The 19,769-nt window shown below is 37.8% G+C and overlaps 1 protein-coding gene and 2 pseudogenes across 17 annotated transcripts in view; all 3 read left to right on the forward strand.

Moving 5' to 3' along the window:
• MIGA1 (mitoguardin 1) overlaps positions 1 to 19,769 on the forward strand; it is a 99,892-nt gene that overhangs the window by 60,782 nt on the left and 19,341 nt on the right. For all 17 annotated transcript variants that reach the window (NM_001270384.2, NM_198549.4, NM_001416120.1 and 14 more), the window contains 4 exons: positions 2,877 to 2,977; positions 18,508 to 18,626; positions 18,884 to 18,956; positions 19,610 to 19,696. In NM_001270384.2, the coding sequence (NP_001257313.1) occupies positions 2,877 to 2,977; positions 18,508 to 18,626; positions 18,884 to 18,956; positions 19,610 to 19,696 (380 nt within the window). The remainder of the gene's footprint in view (positions 1 to 2,876; positions 2,978 to 18,507; positions 18,627 to 18,883; positions 18,957 to 19,609; positions 19,697 to 19,769) is intronic.
• NSRP1P1 (nuclear speckle splicing regulatory protein 1 pseudogene 1) lies at positions 6,650 to 8,569 on the forward strand (annotated as a pseudogene).
• HSPE1P25 (heat shock protein family E (Hsp10) member 1 pseudogene 25) lies at positions 12,893 to 13,453 on the forward strand (annotated as a pseudogene).

A 19,769-nucleotide genomic window follows, 5' to 3' on the forward strand; every position in this document is an offset into this window, starting at 1 on the left:
GACACTAGATAAATGTCTGTATTCTACTCTGAAAATAGCAAAAGCCATATGGAAACAAGAGTTAATTGACTTGTAAATTTAATCCCACTCTCGGCCGGGTGCAGTGGCTCTCACACCTGTAATCCCAGTACTTTAGGAGGCGGAGGCGGAGGCGGGCGGGTCACCTGAGTTTGGGAGTTGGAGACCAGCCTGACCAACATGCAGAAACCCCGTCTCTACTAAAAATACAAAATTAGCCGGGCGTGGTGGCACATGCCTGTAATCTCAGCTACTTGGGAGGCTGAGGCAGGAGAATCGCTTGAATCTGGGAGGTGGAGGTTGTGGTGAGCCAAGGTCGCGCCATTGCACTCCAGCCTAGGCAACGAGCAAAATTCTGTCTCAAAATAAATAAATAATAAAATAAAATAAAATTTAATCCCACTCTGATAATGCCATGACATAATGAAAATTGTAAAACTGTGATTTCTTTTTGTGAAATACTGAGAATGGAAAATAATTAAGATAACGCTTTGAAGGTTGTACACGAGGATTAAGTTTTGTATAAAAGCTCAGTGTGTGTGTATTTGTGTTTAAAAAGCCTTAATATGCACTGAAAAGAGAATTATGGGAGTTTTTCTAATTGAGTGTCCCAAAATACCAGTTTGATAGCTATTTATAAGTGTGAAACAATTATGTTGTTTTATTCTCTAGTTTAATGGAAAAATGTAAATTTCTAAAATATTTTTATAATGGAATAATTTAACCTCAGATTTTATCCCATTAATAGTCATTTAGTAGTAGAAAGATTTTTAAGATGAAAAGTTTTAGGTACTTTAAAAGGATTGATGTAAACGTCATCTGAAAACAATTATAATTTAAACTTGGAAGGTAAATACTTAAAATGTAAAGTCTGATCTCACCAAACATAAAGTAGGAAAAAAATATGTTACATGTATGGTTATTTTTGGTGCTTAATAGGAATGAACCTTGTACCAATTGTGGCTTATTCTGTCTTCTGCTTGTGGTAGAAGCAGAATATATTCTGCTTCTATACTAGGAATTCTATACTAGGAATTATATTCCAAGTAGAGCTTGGAATATAATTGATTGTACAACTTTTGATTTAAACATTTAATTGAAGCCAGATTGATGCTTTGAATAAAAAAAAAAACCCATACTTCCTGGGTAGAGTCACAAGTTGTGTTTTTTGGTACTTAGGGTTTTAAACAGAATTTAACAGATTTCTAGTAGAGGTAATAAATTTTAATTTTGGGAAAATTGTGAAATGAAAATTTGGATGAATCAAAGCCAAGGAGACTTCTGCTTTCTTTCTTTTCTTTTCTTTCTTTGTTCCTTTCTCTCCCTCTCTCTCTCTTTCTTCCTTTTCTTTTTTCTTTCTTTTTTTTTTTGACAAGGTCTCACTCTGACATCCAGGCTGGAGTGCAGTGGTGCAGTCATAGCTCACTGCAGCCTCAAACTCCTGGAGTCAAGCAGTTTTCCTGCCTCAGCCTCCTGAGCATGTGCCACAACACCTGGCTATTTTTTTTTTTTTTTTTTGGACGAGGTCTCACTGTGTTTCCCAGGCTGGTCTCAAAACTCCTGGACTCAAGTGATCCTCCTGCCTCAGCCTTCCAAAGCACGGGGATGATTACAGGCATGAGCTACCTCAGCCAGCTGGTTTCATTTTAAAGAAGATAGTGTCTGACAAATTTGGCAGATTCAGAATCAAAATAAGAAAAATCTATATATGTTTTATTCTTTGCTCTTTCATACTTATGATACATTTTGAAGTTTATCACTTGTTTTCTCCATTATAGTCACATATGTAAGAAGGAAAGTATTTGTTTGAAAATTTAATGTTAACAATTAGATTCCTGATAACAGTACATGAGGATATTCATACCCACATTCCGAATGACAAGTATTGCTAACAGCCTGTCTTGATAGGGCGAGATTAACCATTCCAAAGAATTTGAACTTTTTCAACCTTTTAAAATTTTGGGGGCATTTATATTTGACCCTCAGGTAAGCAGAGTAAACATCAAGGACCTAGGTCTGATTGTTTTTGACCATTCAGTTTTTAAAGTAGGTCTCATTAAAGCCTGAAAAAGTCACAAATATCTTCTTGAATTGTTTTTTTTTGTTGTTGTTGTTTTGAGACGGAGCCTTGATCTGTCCCCCTGGCTGGAGTGCAGTGGTGTGATCTTGCCTTACTGCAACCTCCACCTCCCGGGTTCAAGCAATTCTCATGCCTCAGCCTCCCAAGTAGCTGGGACTACAGGTGCGCACCTGGCTAATTTTTGTATTTTTTTAGTAGAGACGGGGTTTCGCCATGTTGGCGAGGCTGGTCTCGAACTCCTGATCTCAGGTGATCTGCCTGCCTCAGCCTCCCAGAGTGCTGGGATTACAGGTGTGAGCCACTGCACCCGGCCGTGAATTGTTTTAATTGATCAGCTTATCACAAGTGACAGGCTGGATATTTTATGTTAATAATATAGTTGATTTGAATGAACCTACAATGAACCTACAAGTTCTTCTAATTTGGGCAAGACCACTTGCAAATAAATTGCTCTGTTTCAAACTAGCTGTGATATATGCTGACTTCATCATGTATAGTAGATAATCCAACTCTGGTTATAATGTACTAAAAAGCCCTTTTAATAAAAAATTAAGCTTAATTCCTTTTTAAATTAAAAATGAATATTTGCTTTGTAACATTGTCTCCCCTACTTGTCAGAGTTTCAGATTCAGTTAAACAATGGATACTTACTGTTTTCTTTTTGACACTAGTAGTCTAAATAAAGACTGGGGGAAAAATCAAAATCAAACTATGGAATGTGAAATACCACAATGATGTGGAATATCACTTTCTGAACTTTTCACCTTTTACTTTTAAGATAAAGATACAGATATCACCATGAAGGGTAATGTGGAAGACTTTGGCCTGCGAGACACCTTGAGCATCGCATCCACGGATTCCTTTGCTTCCGCAGCAGAGGTAGGACATATGTGTTCCTAATGAGGATTTCTGTTTCTTTTTTGGTGGAAACAACAGTCTTGTCATTATACTGTAATTCAGTTTGGTCACTATTTATTTAGCACGTACCATGTGGTAGGTGCCAGGATACAAAAATGAATAAATCTAACATGAAAATAAGCTCCTACAGGAGCTTACACTCTCTTTAAGGAGATGGACCTGTAAACACATGGTTTAGATGGGCACTTTCATATACTGTAGATTATGGGTGAGGCATATAAATTAGTATGTTAATGGAAAGCAATTTTTCAACTTATATCAAGAGTCTTAAAGATGTTCAATTTCTTTAGTTCAGAAATCATACTTCTAGATTTTTGTTCTAAGAAGGTGATCAGATTCAAAGATTATATATATATAAATATTCACTGTTGGCCAGGTGCAGTGGCTTACAACTGTATTCCCAGTACTTTAGGAGGCTGAGGTGGAAGGATTGCTTGAGCTCTGGAGTTTGAGACCAGCTTGAGCAACATAGTGAGACCTTGTCCCTACAAAAAATTTAAAAAATTAACCAGATGTGGTAGTGAGTAGCCTATAGTTCTGGTTATTCAGGAGGCTGAGGTGGGAGGATCCCTTAAGCCCAAGAGGTCAAGACTGCAGTGGGCCATGATCGTGGCACTGCATTCCAGCCTGGGTGACAGAACAAGACCCTGTCTTAAAAAAAAAAAAAATATATATATATATATATATATATAGATAGATAGATAGATAGATAGATAGATATAGATATATATGTATATACACACACACATACACACATTCACTGTGGCATTTTAGTAACAATGAAAAACTGAAAACAACCTAATGCCAAATTATGACACATCTGTAATTAGAAATGTTATAAAGCTATAAACATGTTTCCAATAATTTTAATGACATGGGAACATGTTAAGTGAAAAGATTAGTATGTAAAGTTTTATATAGATTGTATGATTATAATTTTGTAAAAAGGAAACAAACGTGCGTGATATATAAGTATATAGGCAGAGGAAAAAAGGCTAACCATAAATAAACAGTAGTGATTACTGAATTATAAATCTGTGGATAATTTATTTTTCACTGAGATTTAAATTTTTTACCAAAAGAGACTGCTTGCAAAGAGGTCATCTTTTTGTTTTAATTTTTGTACTTAAAACAGCTTTAAAAATTACGTGTGGCCAATTTTATCTCAGAATATTTGCATTTTTTACAGTAGATTTTGGATATAATAATTTTAGGTGCTCTTTTTTCATAGAAATAGTATTATGCATCTGGCCAGGCACAGTGGCTTATTCCTGTTATCCCAGAACTTTGGGAGGCCAAGGCGGGCCTCCTGAGGCCCTGAGGTCAGGAGGTTGAGACCAGCCTGGTCAATATGGTGAAACACCATCCCTACAAAAAATTAAAAAATTAGCCGGGCATGGTGGTGCATGCCTGTAATCACAGCTACTCAGGAGGCTGAGGCACAAGAATCGCTTGAACCTGGGAGATGGAGGTTGCAGTGTGCCAAGATCGCACCACTGCACTGCAGCCTGGTCAACAGAGTGAGACTCTGTCTCACACACACATGCACAGAAGTAGTATTACACATCTATAACTGATGTGTGAATTTTATCTCTAGTTTGGAAGCTTTAGATATTCCAATACCTGTACCTTAAACTTTGGATCTGCCTTTTTAAAAGTAGTACTGATTCATAATATCTTTTATCTTCTCAAGGTTTTTCTATATGTGTATATTTCAGCCATCACTTACAGTATCATCTCCTAATTGTTTACATTAAAAAAATTTTTCCACTTATAAGTTTGCAGTAGACAGAATATATTTTCTTGTTCTATGGGAAAGCTGTTTCCTCTTCCTTTTACTGTTCATTATATACATATTTGTCTTTCTATTCTGTAGATACTATGTCCTAGGTCGTTTGTAAGGAGAAAAATTGCTATTCACTTTGCACTTTTTTCCATTGTGAGGAACAATATACCTAATTGCTCTAAAGTTTTTTTTCTAATATGCAACTTTAAAAAATATTTTGCTAAGTGTTCATTGTACTCACTTTAAATTTATTGTTTAATAAAGTTTAATAAAAATTATTAAATACTTGTGGAAAACAAAATGCATGAATATACATGAAAAGGACTTACTATTCAAGAAATACCCTAAGAATGCTTCCATGGTATAAATGTATGGTCTCAGAATGTGAATGTTCCAAGATAAATTATTTTATAAGAAATGTTTGTTAAATTATTTTTAACTATATGCCAAGCACTTAAGGTTAAATTAGGGAAAATTGTTTTAATGAAGAAAATTACTAAGTTAATAGAATCAGAATGCTTTGGGAAGTTAAACAAGTTTTTGATCGTTCGAAAACCTTTTCAGGATTACCAGAAAGATTTCTTGCCTAGTTAGATTAAAACAATTTCTGGTATCGGTTTTTCTATAAGCTAGATCAATCATTTGTGAAAGTGATTAACAAGATTTTCCTGTATAAGCTTTGCCAAACATTGGTTTGGAACCACGGATGAAAAGCTTTTTTTTTTTTTTTTTAAATATAGCTTTCTTGACAGTAATTCACATGCCATAAAATTCACCCTTTTAAAATATAGAGTTCAGTGGTTTATAGTATGTTTATATAGTTGTGCAGCCAGCACTACTTTCTAATTTCAGAACATTTTTATCACCCTAAACACAAACCCCTGCCCAATAGCAGTCACTCTCCAACTCCCTTTACCCCCCAGCCCTTGGCACCCAATACCTTCTGACTCTATGAATTTGCCTTATTCTGGACATTTCTTATAAGTGGAATCATACCATGCGATATGTTGTATTTGGCTTTCTTTCACTTAGCATAATGTTTTCTTTCAAGTTCTGAAAAGTCTTTTTGATGTTGGGATACCTTCCCATTTTACTCCTAATTCTTCCATCTGTTAAAGATATTGTCATTTAATAGGTAGAAACTAATATTGCAGAGAGCAGTTTTTAGCTGTAGATTCCATTTTTTATAGAATTACCACTCTGCAATTGTGTATATGTATTTAATAGAGAAATCATAGGCTTCTCTTTAAAAAGAAAATTTTATTTAAAAAAATTTTTTTAAATAGAGGTGGGGTCTTGTCAGGTTGCCCAGGCTGGTCTCAAACTCCTGAGCTCAAGCAATCCTCCCTCGTTGGCCTCCCAAAGTGCTGGGATTATAGGTGTGAGCCACTGTGTCCAGCTGAAAATTTTATTTTTTATAATTCAGATACCTCGGCCGGGACTGCTGGCTCACACCTGTAATCCCAGCACTTTGGGAGGCCAAGGCAGGCAGATCACAAGGTCAGGAGATCGAGACCATCCTGGCTAACATGGTGAAACCCCTCCTCTACTAAAAATACAAAAAATTAGCCAGGCATGGTGGCGGGCGCCTGTAGTCCCTGCTACTCAGGAGGCTGAGGCAGGAGAATGGCGTGAACCTGGGAGGTGGAGCTTGCAATGAACTGAGATTGCGCCACTGCACTCCAGCCTGGGCAACAGCGAGACTGTCTCAAAAAATAAAATAAAATAAAATAATTTAGATACCTCTACTTGTACTCTAAATGGAACCTTGGAAAGCTTTTGCTATATCCACCTCTCTGATTTGACGACACTTATTTATAGCAATCCAGAAACTACACCAACAGTAGGGCCACGTTCAGTAGATATGGGAACAAGATGGTGATTCTGGGCAGGCAGTATGGGTTTATTTTGCCAAAGAAAACACAGCAGTTGCATCCTGTTTTGCAAAAACCGTCAGTGTTTGGGAATGATTCTGATGATGATGATGAGACCTCCATGAGTGAAAGCCTTCAGAGGGAAGCTGCTAAGAAGCAGGCCATGAAACAGACCAAACTGGAATCCAGAAGGCCCTTGCAGAAAATGCTACTGTGTATGAATATGACAGTATTTATGATGAAATGCAGGAAAAAAAGGAGGAAAACAATACTAAATTGCTTTTGGGGAAAGACTGAAAGCCCAAGTATATTCACAACTTGCTAAAAGCAGTTGAGATCAGAAAAAAGGAACAGGAAAAAAGAATGGAAAAGAAAATACAGAGAGAACGAGAAATGGAAAAGGAAATACAGAGAGAAAGAGAAATGGAAAAGGGAGAGTTTGATGATAAAGAGGCATTTGTGACATCTGCATATAAGAAAAAACTGCAAGAGAGAGCTGAAGAAGAAAGAAAAAAGAGGGCTGCTGCGCTGGAAGCGTGTTTGGATGTAACCAAGCAGAAAGATCTCAGTGGATTTTATAGACACTTACTAAATCAAGCAGTTGGTGAAGAGGAAGTACCTAAATGCAGCTTTCGTGAAGCCAGATCTGGTATAAAGGAAGAGAAATCAAGGGGCTACTCTGATGAAGTAAGTTCAAAAAACGGAATACCACAAGAGAAATGCATTCTTCAAACTGATGTGAAAGTAGAGGAAAACCCAGATGCAGACAGTGACTTTGATGCTAAGAGCAGCAAGGATGATGAAATAAAGAAACTAGAGTGAACTGCAGAAGGGAAAAGGTCGTAGAGACCCCTGAGAATCACCCCCAAGCACCACAGGAATCAAAACCACTCTCAGTCACCTAGTGAAGAAAGAGGGCACAGTGCCAGACACCACACGAAAGGATCACGAACATCGAGAGGACACGAGAAAAGGGAAGATCAGCACCAACAGAAGCAATCCAGAGACGAGGAGAACCATTACACTGACCGTGATTACCAGAAAGAAAGGGATTCTCATAGGCACAGGAGACCAGTCATAGAGATTCCCATTGGAAGAGGCATGAACAGGAAGATAAACTAAGGGCGAGGGACCAAAGAGAAAGAAGTGACAGAGTGTGGAAAAGGGAGAAAGATGGGGAGAAATATTCCCAAAGAGAACAAGAAAGAGAGACAACAAAATGATCAGAACCGACACAGTGAGAAAGGAGAGAAGGAAGAGAAAAGCAAAGCAAAGGAAGAGCGTATGAAAGTAAGGAAAGAAAGATATGAAAATAATGATAAATACAGAGATAGAGAAAAACAAGAAGTAAGTGTTTGATCTTCAGAAAGAAATCTTCAGAAAGGAAAGCAGCCCAAGTTCTAGGGCAAAGAATAAATTTCTTGACCAAGAAAGATCCAACAAAATGAGAAACATGACAAAAGACAAAGAAGGAAACCAGGAGAAACCCTCTAATTCTGAATCATCACTGGGAGCAAAACACAGACTCACAGAAAGGCAAGAGAAGGGTAAAGAACAAGAGAGACCACCTGAGGCAGTGAGCAAGTTTGCAAAGAGGAACAACGAAGAAACTGTAATGTCAGCTAGAGACAGGTACTTGGCCAGGCAGATGGTGCAGGTTAATGCAAAGAGCTATATTGACAAACAAGATGATTGATGGCTACCCCAAGAGAAAGATTTAAGGAAGCACAGAAAACTGTAATTCCTGGAACCTGCTGCATAAAACCATAAAGGAGTGTGTTACCAGTAGTTTGGAGGGCATTTTAAAATTTATTTTCAAAATTTTAGGTTAAAATCAAAAGTCAGTCTTACATCTTGGATGTTTGGATGTGGATGTTTGGCTGAATTTATATAGAGTATGTACTTATCAATACCACATTCTTTGTTGTATTCCAGAATCATATTGTGCTAATTCCCTGTAGGTACATAATGAGGAAAATTGGCTCCACTACAACCATTAAAAAATAATTTTGGCCAGATGTGGTAGCTCGTGCCTGTAATACCAACATTTTGGGAGGCCGAGGCAGAAGGATCACTTGAGGCCAGGCATTCAAGACCAGCCTATGCAAGATAACGAGACCTTGTCTCTATTTAAAAAACAAAAAGCCTGGTGTGGTGGTGCATGCCTGTAGTCCCAGCTGTTCGAGAGGCTGAGGCAGGAAGATCACCTGAGCCTAGGAATTTGATGTTACAGTGAGCTATGATCATACCACTGCACTCCAACCTGGGCGACAGCGGGACCCTGTCTCTAAAAAAAACCTTTTTTTAAATAAATAATTTAACTCTTCTAATAATGTTGGTTTTGTTGCACGAGCTGTTTGTTTTATAAATATTGTATTTCAGATAAAATATGGATTTGAACAATAGAAAATACACTTTACGTTCTGAAATTTGTATTAAAGTGTAAAATGTGAATCATACATCTTGTCTAAATAGCTTACAGCATAGTTGGCTTAAATGAAAATAAAAAATAGTGATATGCTTAAAAAATACACCAATAATAATGTACAAAGTGACAAAGATGAATATTTAGGATAATTATAACCTGAAAAGGGAGAGAGGGCTACATCTATCATTTAAAATTTTTCTTCTATGAAAGTATGAAGGCATGGCCGTCCGTGGTGCTCACGCCTGTAATCCCAGCACTTTGGGAGACCGAGATGGGTGATCACCTGAGGTCAGGAGTTCTACACCAGCCTGGCCAACATGGTGAAACCCAGTCTCTACTAAAAATACAAAAATTAGCCAGTGTGGTGGCACACGCCTGTAATCCCAGCTACGTAGTAGGCTGAGGCAGGAGAATCGCTTGAACCTGGGAAGCAGAGGTTGTAGTGAGCCAAGATTGTGCCACTGTACTCCAGCCTGGGCAACAGAGTGAGACTCTCTCTCAAAAAAAAAAAAAAAAAAGTATGAAGGCTTGACTGGGGCTGAAAGATCTGTTCCCAAGATAACTCACTCCTATGAATGGAAAGTTGGTGCTATCCATTAACAGAAGACCTAAGTTTCTTACCACATAGACTTTTCTATAGGACTATTTGAGTATCTTTACAGCATGGCACCTGGCTTCCCGCAGAGGGAGTGACCCAAGAGAGGGCAAGGTGGAAGTGATGACTGTTTTGACCTATCCTCAGAAATCTCATTCTTTCATTTCCACAATGTGCTGTTGGTTACACAGGTTAGCCCTATTCAATGTGGGTTGGGATGTGAGTAACCAGGGTGAGAGAATCATTGAAGACCCAATTTGGAGGGTGGCTATTTTAAGTTCCTATTGTCTATTAAGGGATACAGATTGGTAACAGCCTGCTTTCTTTAACTGTAAGTCTTATTTATAATTTTAGGTGATTGATTTGAAAGGAAAATGTAAACATGTATAAAATGGTCCACATTAAAATAGAACTTAGCCTATTTCATGTCCCTACTTGTAATAATCTTGAAACTTCAGACATTTCATTCATGGTCATTCAGAGGACCTGGTCTGGATTAAGGCTTTTAAAAAATATTACTTCAAATTTAGCAAAGTCATTACATGCCAAGGAGGATAAGGCTCAGTCCATCTTGTACCTCATGGGGCCCAAGAGAAGTAATTTAGGATGTTTGAAATCTTTAGCTAATCCCCAAACACAGTTTTCACTGGTTGCTTCATATGTGGGAATTATCTATTTTTCTGTTTTTATTGTTGCTGTTGTTGTTGACTTGTTTGATTTCTTTCTTTCTTTCTTTTTTTTTTTGTTTTGTTTTTGTGAGATGGAGTTTTGCTCTTGTCACCCAGGCTGGAGTGCAATGGCACGATCTTGCCTCACTGCAACCTCTACCTCCCGTGTTCAAGTGATTCACCTGCCTCAGCCTCCCAAGTAGCTGGGATTGCAGGCACCTGCCACCACACCCAGCTAATTTCTGTATTTTTAGTAGAGATGGGGTTTTGCCATATTGGCCAGGCTGGTCTTGAACTCCTGACCCTCAGATGATCCACCCACCTCCGCCTCCCAAAGTGCTAGGATTACAGGCATGAGCCACCGCGCCGGGCCTTGTTTGATTTCTTTTATGGTCATATTTATGGTACTTCTGAAATATGGGAAATAACAAAAGGTAGGATGATGATTTGGTGTAAACAAATATAGTATTACTTTTCTTTTTGAAAATATTAAAATGAGTTTTTTTTAAATGTAGCCTTTTGGGAGAAGAATAATTTCAAAATACATAGGAAATTTCAGCTAGTAAAAAAAAGACCCCCTTTTAATAGTAAATTGCATGTTCCATAGCTGAAATTAACTGCCTTATTGACCGCTGCTTCTGAAATAACTTCTCAGCTCTATTTAAATGTTAATTTTTTTCTAAAACCTTTTAAAACATGTTTGGGAATTTTGTTGAGAAATTCTTCCTATGTGATGTATTCTGAAATAAGAATTTCAACCAATGTTTTAATGAGTTTCTTTTTGTTTAAAAAAGTTTAAGATTAATGATTTAAATAAATGTTTCTAAGCTGGCATTGTCTCTGAAGAGTCAATAATGTTAGCTAGTATCAAATCTTCAACATGATATATTCTCACAGCTGCAGTCTTATTTTAGGAGGCTTCTTTAAACGATTACTTAAACCAAACCAACAAATAAGCAAGGTAGATCAATAATTCAAGACTCAACTCTGGAATCTCCCATTGTTGGATTGTCTTCTTATTATTGTTAGAAATTATTTCATGTAGAGGGTTTAATTGGAGCCCAGTTTAGTTTTCTTTCTTTTTTTTTTTTTTTTTTGAGACAGAGTCTTACTCTGTCACTCAGGTTGGAGTGTAGTGGTGTGATCTCAGCTCACTGCAACCTTGCAACCTCTACCTCCCAGGTTCAAGCAATTCTTCTGCCTCAGCCTCCCAAGTAGGTGGGATTACAGGCATGTGCCACCATACCCGGCTAATTTTTGTATTTTTAGTAGAGATGGGGTTTCGCCATCATGGCCAGGCTGGTCTCGAGCTTCTGACCTCAAGTGATCTGCGCACGTCAACCTCCCAAAGTGCTGGGATTACAGGTGTGAGCCACCGCACCTGGCCCCCAGTTTACTTCTTAGGATTTTTCTCTAATAGAGGATAGAGAATACTAATAGTACATGTATGTGGGTCTTATTTGTTTTGACAGTGGTACAAAAATTTAAACTGTTTAATATCTAAAGAATTTTCATTCTAAGTTATTTTTAAAAAGCTGTTTAGTTTTGTTAGCCTCAAGAAGACTTTGCCCTTTAGCATAACATATATTCCTTAAAATATGAGGGGAAATGTTACTTAAAGTAGAGAATATATACTGTGAGATACTGTCATCTCTTCATACCTTTTTTTTTGCATCTGGCCTAATGGACATATTTATGTATCATAAATATTGCTGATGCTGAAACTTCTTATCCCTTGGCTGTTTGGATAAGGCTGATAGGAAGGGTATAATTTGGTGCTTAAGTTCTGGAATAATGTGCCTGGGTTTAAATTTTATCATTTAGTTGTGGGATTCTGGGTAAGTTCCTGCTAATTTAATCTCTGTTTCTTCATCTGTAAAATGTGGATTATTTATTTATTTGTTTATTTGAGAGAGAGAATCTCACTCTGTCTCCCAAGCTGGAGTGCAGTGGTACGATCTTGGCTCACTGCAACCTCCACCTCCTAGGTTCAAGTGATTCTCCTGTGTCAGCCTCCCAAGTAGCTGGTATTATAGGCATGTGCCACCACACCTGGCTAATTTTTGAATTTTTAGTAGAGGCGGGGCTTCCCCATGTTGGCCAGGCTGGTCTCCAACTCTTGACCTCAAGTGATCCGCCTGCCTCGGCCTCCCAAAGTGCTGGGATTACAGGAATGAGCCACTGCACCCAGCAAAATGTGAATAATAGTACTTACTTTATGAGCTTTTGTAAGGGTTAAATAAATCAACTGAAAGCATTAGCACAGCACTGGCTGCATGTGAAATACCAAAACCAAAGCCTTGAGAGTTACTTCTAGAATCATAGCGTAGACATTCAAAAGTCTCCTCCACAAAGCAAAAAATGTCAAAAACAAAATTTTCAGAATTCTGAAAATGGATAAAAGACTTGCAAAAATTCAGAGAACATTGAATCAAGTAAAATGGCTGAATCTCCATAAGAGCAGTGAGCTTTGTGGATTTTTAATTTGCTCTCTTCCTTTTTAATAAAAAAATGTTTTGGGTGTGAGAGCAGAGTACAAGCTGTAGTGTCAGGAGTCATGGCAGGACAAGCATTTGGAAGTTTCTTCCACCCTGACCAAGTATTGGTTGAAAGATGTGCTGCAGAAACTACAACCAAAGGAGGCATTACGGCTGGGCACTGTGGCTCATGACTGTAATCCCAGCACTTTGGGAGGCTGAGGCAGGAGGATCACTTAAGTCCAGGAGTTAGATACCAGCCTGGCCAACATAATGAACGCTCGTCTCTATGAAAAATTTAAAAATGAGTGGGAGGATCACTTGAGCCTGGGAAGTTGAGGCTGCAGTGGGCCATGATTGTGCCACTGCACTATTGCCTGGCTGACCTGACAAAAACAAACAAAAACAAACAAAAACCCAAAAACAAACAAACAACACACACACACAAAGGAGGCATCATGCTTCCAGAAAAATCTCAAGGAAAAGTATTGCAAGCAACAGTAATAGCTGTTGCTGTTGGATCAGGCTCTAAAGGAAAGAGTGGAGAGATTCAACCAGTTAGCATGAAAGTTGGAGATAAAGTTACTTTCCCAGAATATGGAGGCACCAGGATTATCTCTTATTTTATTTTTCCATTAAGTTATTGGGGTACAGGTAGTATTTGGTTACATAAGTTCTTTAGTGGTGATTTGTGAGACTTTGGTGCACCTATCACCTGAGCAGTATATACTGCACCATATTTGTAGTCTTTTATCCCTCACCCCCCTCCTACTCTTCCCCTCAAGTCCCCAAAGTCCATTGTATCATTCTTATGCCTTTGCGTCCTCATAGTTTAGCTCCCACTTATCAGTGAGAACATATGATGTTTGGTTTTCCATTCCTGAGTTACTTCACTTAGAATAATAGTCTCCAGTCTCATCCAGGTCACTGCAGATGCTGTTAATTCATCCTTTTTATGGCTGCACAGTATTCCTTCATCTATACATACCACAGTTTCTTTATCCACTTGTCGATTGATGGGCATTTGGGTTGGTTCTACAATTTTGATTCACAATTTTGCTATTGTGAACTGTGTTGCTATAAACATGCATGTGCAAGTATCTTTTTCGAATGATGACTTCTTTTCCTCTGGGTAGATACCCAGTCGTGGGCTTGCCGGATCAAATGGTAGTTCTACTTTTAGTTCTTTAAGGAATCTTCACACTTTTTTCCATAGTGGCTATACTAGTTTACATTCCCACCAGCAGTGTAGAAGTGTTCCCTGATCACTGCATCCACACCAACATCTACTGTGTTTTGATTTTTTGATTATGGCCATTCTTGCAGGAGTAAAGTAGGTATTACACTGTGGTTTTGATTTGCATTTCCCTGATCATAGTGATGTTGAGCATTTTTTTCATGTGTTTGTTGGCCATTTGTATATCTTCTTTTGAGAATTGTCTATTCATGTCCTTAGCCTACTTTTTGATGGGACTTTTTTTTTCTGATTTGTTTGAGTTCATTGTAGATTCTGGATATTAGTCCTTTATCAGATGTAGAGATTGTGAAAATTTTCTCCCACTCTGTGGGTTGTCTACTTACTCTGTCAACTGGTCCTTTTGCCATGCAAAAAGCTCTTTCGTTTAATTAGGTCCTAGCTATTTCTTTGTTTTTATTGCATTTGCTTTTGGGTTCTTAGTCATGAAATCCTTGCCTAAGCCAATGTCTAGAAGGGTTTTTCCAATGTTATCTTCTAGAGTTTTTGTAGTTTCGGGTCTTAGGTTTAAGTCCTTAATCCTTCCTGAGTTGATTTTTGTATAAGATGAGAGATAAGGATCCAGTTTCATTCTCCTACATGTAGCTAGCCAATTATCCCAGCAACATTTGTTGAAAAGGGTGTCTTTTCCCCATTTTATGTTTTTGTTTGTTTTGTCAAAGATCAGTTGGCTGAACTATTTGGGTTTATTTATGTGTTCTCTCTTCTGTTCCATTGGTCTATGTGCCCATTTTTATACCAGTACCATGCTGTTTTGATGATTGTGGCCTTATAGTATAGTTTGAAATCAGGTCGTGTGATGCCTCCAGAATTCTTTTCGCTTAGTCTTTCTTTGGCTATGCAGGCTCTTTTTTGGTTGCATATGAATTTTAGAATTGTTGTTTCTAATTCTGTGAAGAATGATGGTGGTATTCTGATGGGGATTGCATTGAATTTGTAGATTGCTTTTGGCAGTATGGTCCTTTTCACAATATAGATTCTACCCATCCATGAGCATGGGATCTGTTGCCATTTGTTTGGGTCGTCTCTGATTTTTTTCAGCAGTGTTTTGTAGTTTTCCTTGTAGAGGTCTTTGGACTCCTTGGTTAGGTATATTCCTAAGTATTTTATTTTATTTTTTTGTAGCTGTTGTAAAAGGGGTTGAGTTCTTGATTTGAGTCTCTGCTTGGTCGCTGTTGGTGTATAGAAGAGCTACTGATTTGTGTACATTAATCTAGTATCTGGAAACTGCTGATTCTTTTATCAGTTCTAGGAGCTTTCTAGACAACTTCTTAGGGTTTTCAAGGTAAACGATCATATTGACAGCAAACAGTGACAGTTTGACTTCCTCTTTACCGACGTGGATGCCCTTTATTTCTTTCTCCTGTCTGATTGCTCTGGCTAGGTCTTCCAGTACTATGTTGAAGAGGAGTGGTGAGAGTGGGCATCCTTGTCTTGTTCCCATTCTCAGAGGGAATGCTTTCAACTTTTCCCCATTCAGTATTATGTTGGCTGTGGGTTTGTCTTAGATGGCTTTCATTACACTAAGGTATGTCCCTTGTATGCCGATTTTTCTGAGAGTTCTAATCATAAAGGGATGCTGGATTTTGTCAAATGCTTTTTCTGCATCTATTGAGGTGATCGTGTGATTTTTGTTTTTAATTCTGTTTATGTGGTGTGTCACATTCATTGACTCACATATGTTAAACTGTCCCTGCATCCCTGGTATGAAACCCAGTTGATTGTGGTGGATTATCTTTTTGATACGTTGTTGGATTCAATTAGCTAGTGTTTTGTTAAGGATTTTAGCATCTATGTTCATCAAGGATATCGGTCTGTAGTTTTGTTTTTTGGTTACGTCCTTTCCTGGTTTTGGTATTAGGGTGATGCTGAATTAGGGAGGGTTCCTTCTATCTTGTGGAATAGTGTCAAAAGGATTAGTACCAATTCTTCTTTGAATGTCTGATAGAATTCTCCTGTGAATCCATCTGGTCCTGCACTTTTTTTTAATCGGTAATTTTTTAATTACCATTTCAGTCTTGCTGCTTGTTATTGGTCTGATCAAGGTATCTAATTCTTCCTGATTTAAGATAGGAAGGTTGTATTTTTCCAGGAATTTATCCATATCTTCTAGGTTTTCTAGTTTATGTGCGTAAAGGTGTTCATAGTAACCTTGAATGATCTTTTGTATTTCAGTGGTATCAGTTGTAATATTTCCTGTTTCTTTTCTTAGTGAGGTTATTGGGATTTTCTCTCATCTTTTCTTGGTTAATCTTGCTAAAGGTCTATCAATTTTATTTATCTTTTCAAAGAGCCAGCTTTTTGTTTCATTCCTCTTTTGTATTTTTTTTTGTTTCAATTTCATTTAGTTCTGCTCTGATCTTGGTTATTTCCTTTCTTCTTCTGGGTTTGGGTTTGGTTTATTCTTGTTTGTCTAGTTGCTTGAGGTATGACGTTAGATTGTCTGTTTGTGCTCTTTCAGACTTTTTGATGTAGGCGTTTAGGGCTATGAACTTTCCTCTTAGTACCACCTTAGCTGTATCCCAGAGGTTTTGATAGGTTGTGTCATTTTTGTCATTCAGTTCGCAGAATTTTTAAATTTCCATCGTGCTTTTGTTTTTGACCCAGTGCGCATTCAGGAGCAGGTTATTTGATTTCCATGTATTTGCATGGTTTTGAAGGTCCTTTTTGGAGTTGATTTCCAGTTTTATTCCACTGTGGTCTAAGAGAGTGCTTGACATAATTTCAGTTTTTAGTATTGAAATGCGAGGTACTATTACATTCACTCTGCTCTTTGTTGCCTGTGTACTTTGGTTTTTTTTTTTTTGTTTTTGCTTTGTAACTTGTATTGTATTGTATTGTATTTATGTATTTATTTTGTGACGGAGTTTCACTCTTGTTGCCCAGGCTGGTCTTGAACTCCTGACCTCAGGTGATCCGCCTGCCTCAGCCTCCCAAAGTGCTGGAAGGTGCTGGGATTGCGGGCATGAGCCACTGCACCTGGCCCCCCCTAATTTTTTTAATTAGAGGATGTGGTGGTGCGTACCTGTAGCCCCAGCTACTCGGGAGGCTGAGGCAGGAGGATCACTTGAGCCCAGGAGTTTGAGGCCGCAGAGTTATGATTGTGCCACTGCACTACAGCTTGGGTGACAGAGCGAGATCCTGTTTCTTCCAAACAAAACACTCTAGAAGTTTTCTAGAAGTTTTCTGGGTTGTTGTTTTTTTTTTTTTTTTTGCTTAGCTGGCTACTCTACAGTGTTTGCAATTGTTTTTTAATGAACTGTCAGAAGATTGGAATTTCATATGTAGAGTTGTTATGCTAGCCAAAAGCACGACTGTCTTTCAGTTATACAAAAGTTAATCAAAGCTACATATAAGGAAATATGTCTTAGAATAGCAACACTGAGCTTATTTTGTTGTTTTTGTACTAAGTTTTGCTTCATTATAATCATAGGTTATAATACTTGTAAGTAATCTATGGATGATAAAATTCTCCTCCTCTTTTTAAAAAATGCTTCTTCAGTTGTTCTTTTTGGTGAACTATAAGATACAGTATTGCTGGCCAGACGCGGTGGCTGACGCCTGAATGCCAGTACTTTGGGAGGCTGAGGCAGGCGGATCACTTGAGGCCAGTTCGAGACCAGCCTGGCCAACATGGCAAAACCCCATCTTTACTAAAAATACAAAAATTAGCTGGGTGTGGTGGTGCATGCCTGTAATCCCAACTACTCTGGAGGCTGAGGCAGGAGAATCGCTTTAACCTGGGCGATGGAGGCTGCATTGAGCCAAGATCCTGCCACTGTACTCCAGCCTGGGTGACAGTGAGACCCTGTCTCAAAAAAAAAAAAAGATACAGTATTGGTTTTCTGTATGTTCTGTGGATTTAAATAATTGGATTCAGAATGAACTAAGCTTGTTAAAAGTTTTACTCTTTTTAACAACTCTATTGAAGTAAAATCAATTCAGATTTTATTAGCTATAAAATCCTCTTGAATGGTTTTTATGGTTTAATCAAATTTATTGTATTTTGATGTTAGCAAAATCCTATTTTCTTTCCTTTATAGTTTATCTTCTTATATCAGTGTATTCTGCTTTTTGGTTTTCTGGGTTTTTGTTTTGTTTTGTTTTTGAGGCAGGTCTGGCTTTGCCAGCTAGGCTGGAGTGCAGTGATACAATCACAGCTCACTACAACTTCAACCTCCTGTGCTCAAGTGATCTTCCCACCTCAATCTCCTGGGTAGCTAGGACCACAGGTGCATGCCTCCACACCTGACTAATTTTTTTAGATTTTTGTAGAGACAGGGTCTTACCATGTTACCCAGGCTGGTTTCAAACTTCTGGGTTCAAATGATCCTCCCAAAGTGTTGCAATTACAGGCATGAGCCACTGCACCTAGCCTGTATTCTGTTCTAACCCACCGTGCTCTTAGCTTGCAGAACACAGAGAAGTACGGCATACCTACAGCCTGGAGTCCCTTTGTCACTGCCCATTTTACGAGGAAGCCATGCATTTAGTTGAAGAAGGAAAAATTTACTCCAGAGTACTGAGGTACCATTTCAGTTTTGTTTATGTTTATGAAGGATATTAAGGTGTTTGTGTGGTACTTACTAAAAATGTTTATGAAAATAGGAGAAAATATGTTTTTAGGTCCAAGTAAAGAAAAAATTATTTTTACATGTTCTGTCAGTATTGAAAAAACATGTTTTATATTAAGGTCCTGAGGTTAAGCCTTGTTTGAATCCAAATTTATAGTAGGCTTGATCTTGAATGTAGTTTAACAATTGTCTCCCCTGTTTATTACATAGAACTGAAATGTTGGAGTGCCTAGGAGACAGTGATTTTCTTGCCAAACTTCACTGTATTCGACAGGCTTTTCAGGTATTTTTTTAACATTAAGTGACTTCACCCAGCCACTCATCCCCACCCTCATGCTGTAGAGTCCAGTGCAAATAAACAGGACAGCTCTGTGCTCTTGATTATCCCTATTCCTAATGACAAATATAAAGTCCACTAAACTTATTTTTCCTCCCTGCTACTTGCCTTCATTTGTTTCCATATTTCATTATCCTCTCCCATGGCTTCCCAGGCCCACGACACTTTGTCAAAACAGGATATTTTGATACTTCAGGAGTGTAAAAATGGCTGCTTAAAATAAAAACACTCTTTCTTATTAATTAGTGTGTATTTGAGATTTAATTTCAGTCAATTATAAAATTGATTTTCTAAAAAGAAAATAACAAGAATATATTTGTTTTCTTATGTTTTGGGGCTATAGGAAATTTATTTGAGACTGTAATATGATTTTGAACAGAATTTAAATTCAAATTTAACTCCCTTTAATCTTTTTTTGACTATAGGTTTCAAGAGTTCTTTTTATTTTAGTAAATTAGGACTTTCTCTGTGAGCTGCCTGTTGAAATAGCACCACATGCAATGCATTAACTGTTTTAGGATTATTTGTGCTATTAAGTTGAATGTCCATTCACATTCATTATAGGTCTCTTTTTTCTTTGGGGATGAATATTTTTTCAGGTAATTCTTTCAGAATCAGCTAACAGGATATTCCTCGCTGAGAGCGGAAGGAAAATTTTATCAGCTTTAATTGTGAAAGCACGAAAGGTAAACTTGTTCTGTTGGCAAGATTTTTACCATTTACAAAAGTTGTTTTTACCCTTTGAACTGAAGATTAAGA

Source organism: Homo sapiens, chromosome 1 (genome assembly GCF_000001405.40).
Source record: "Homo sapiens chromosome 1, GRCh38.p14 Primary Assembly".
Taxonomy (NCBI): Eukaryota; Metazoa; Chordata; class Mammalia; order Primates; family Hominidae; genus Homo; species Homo sapiens.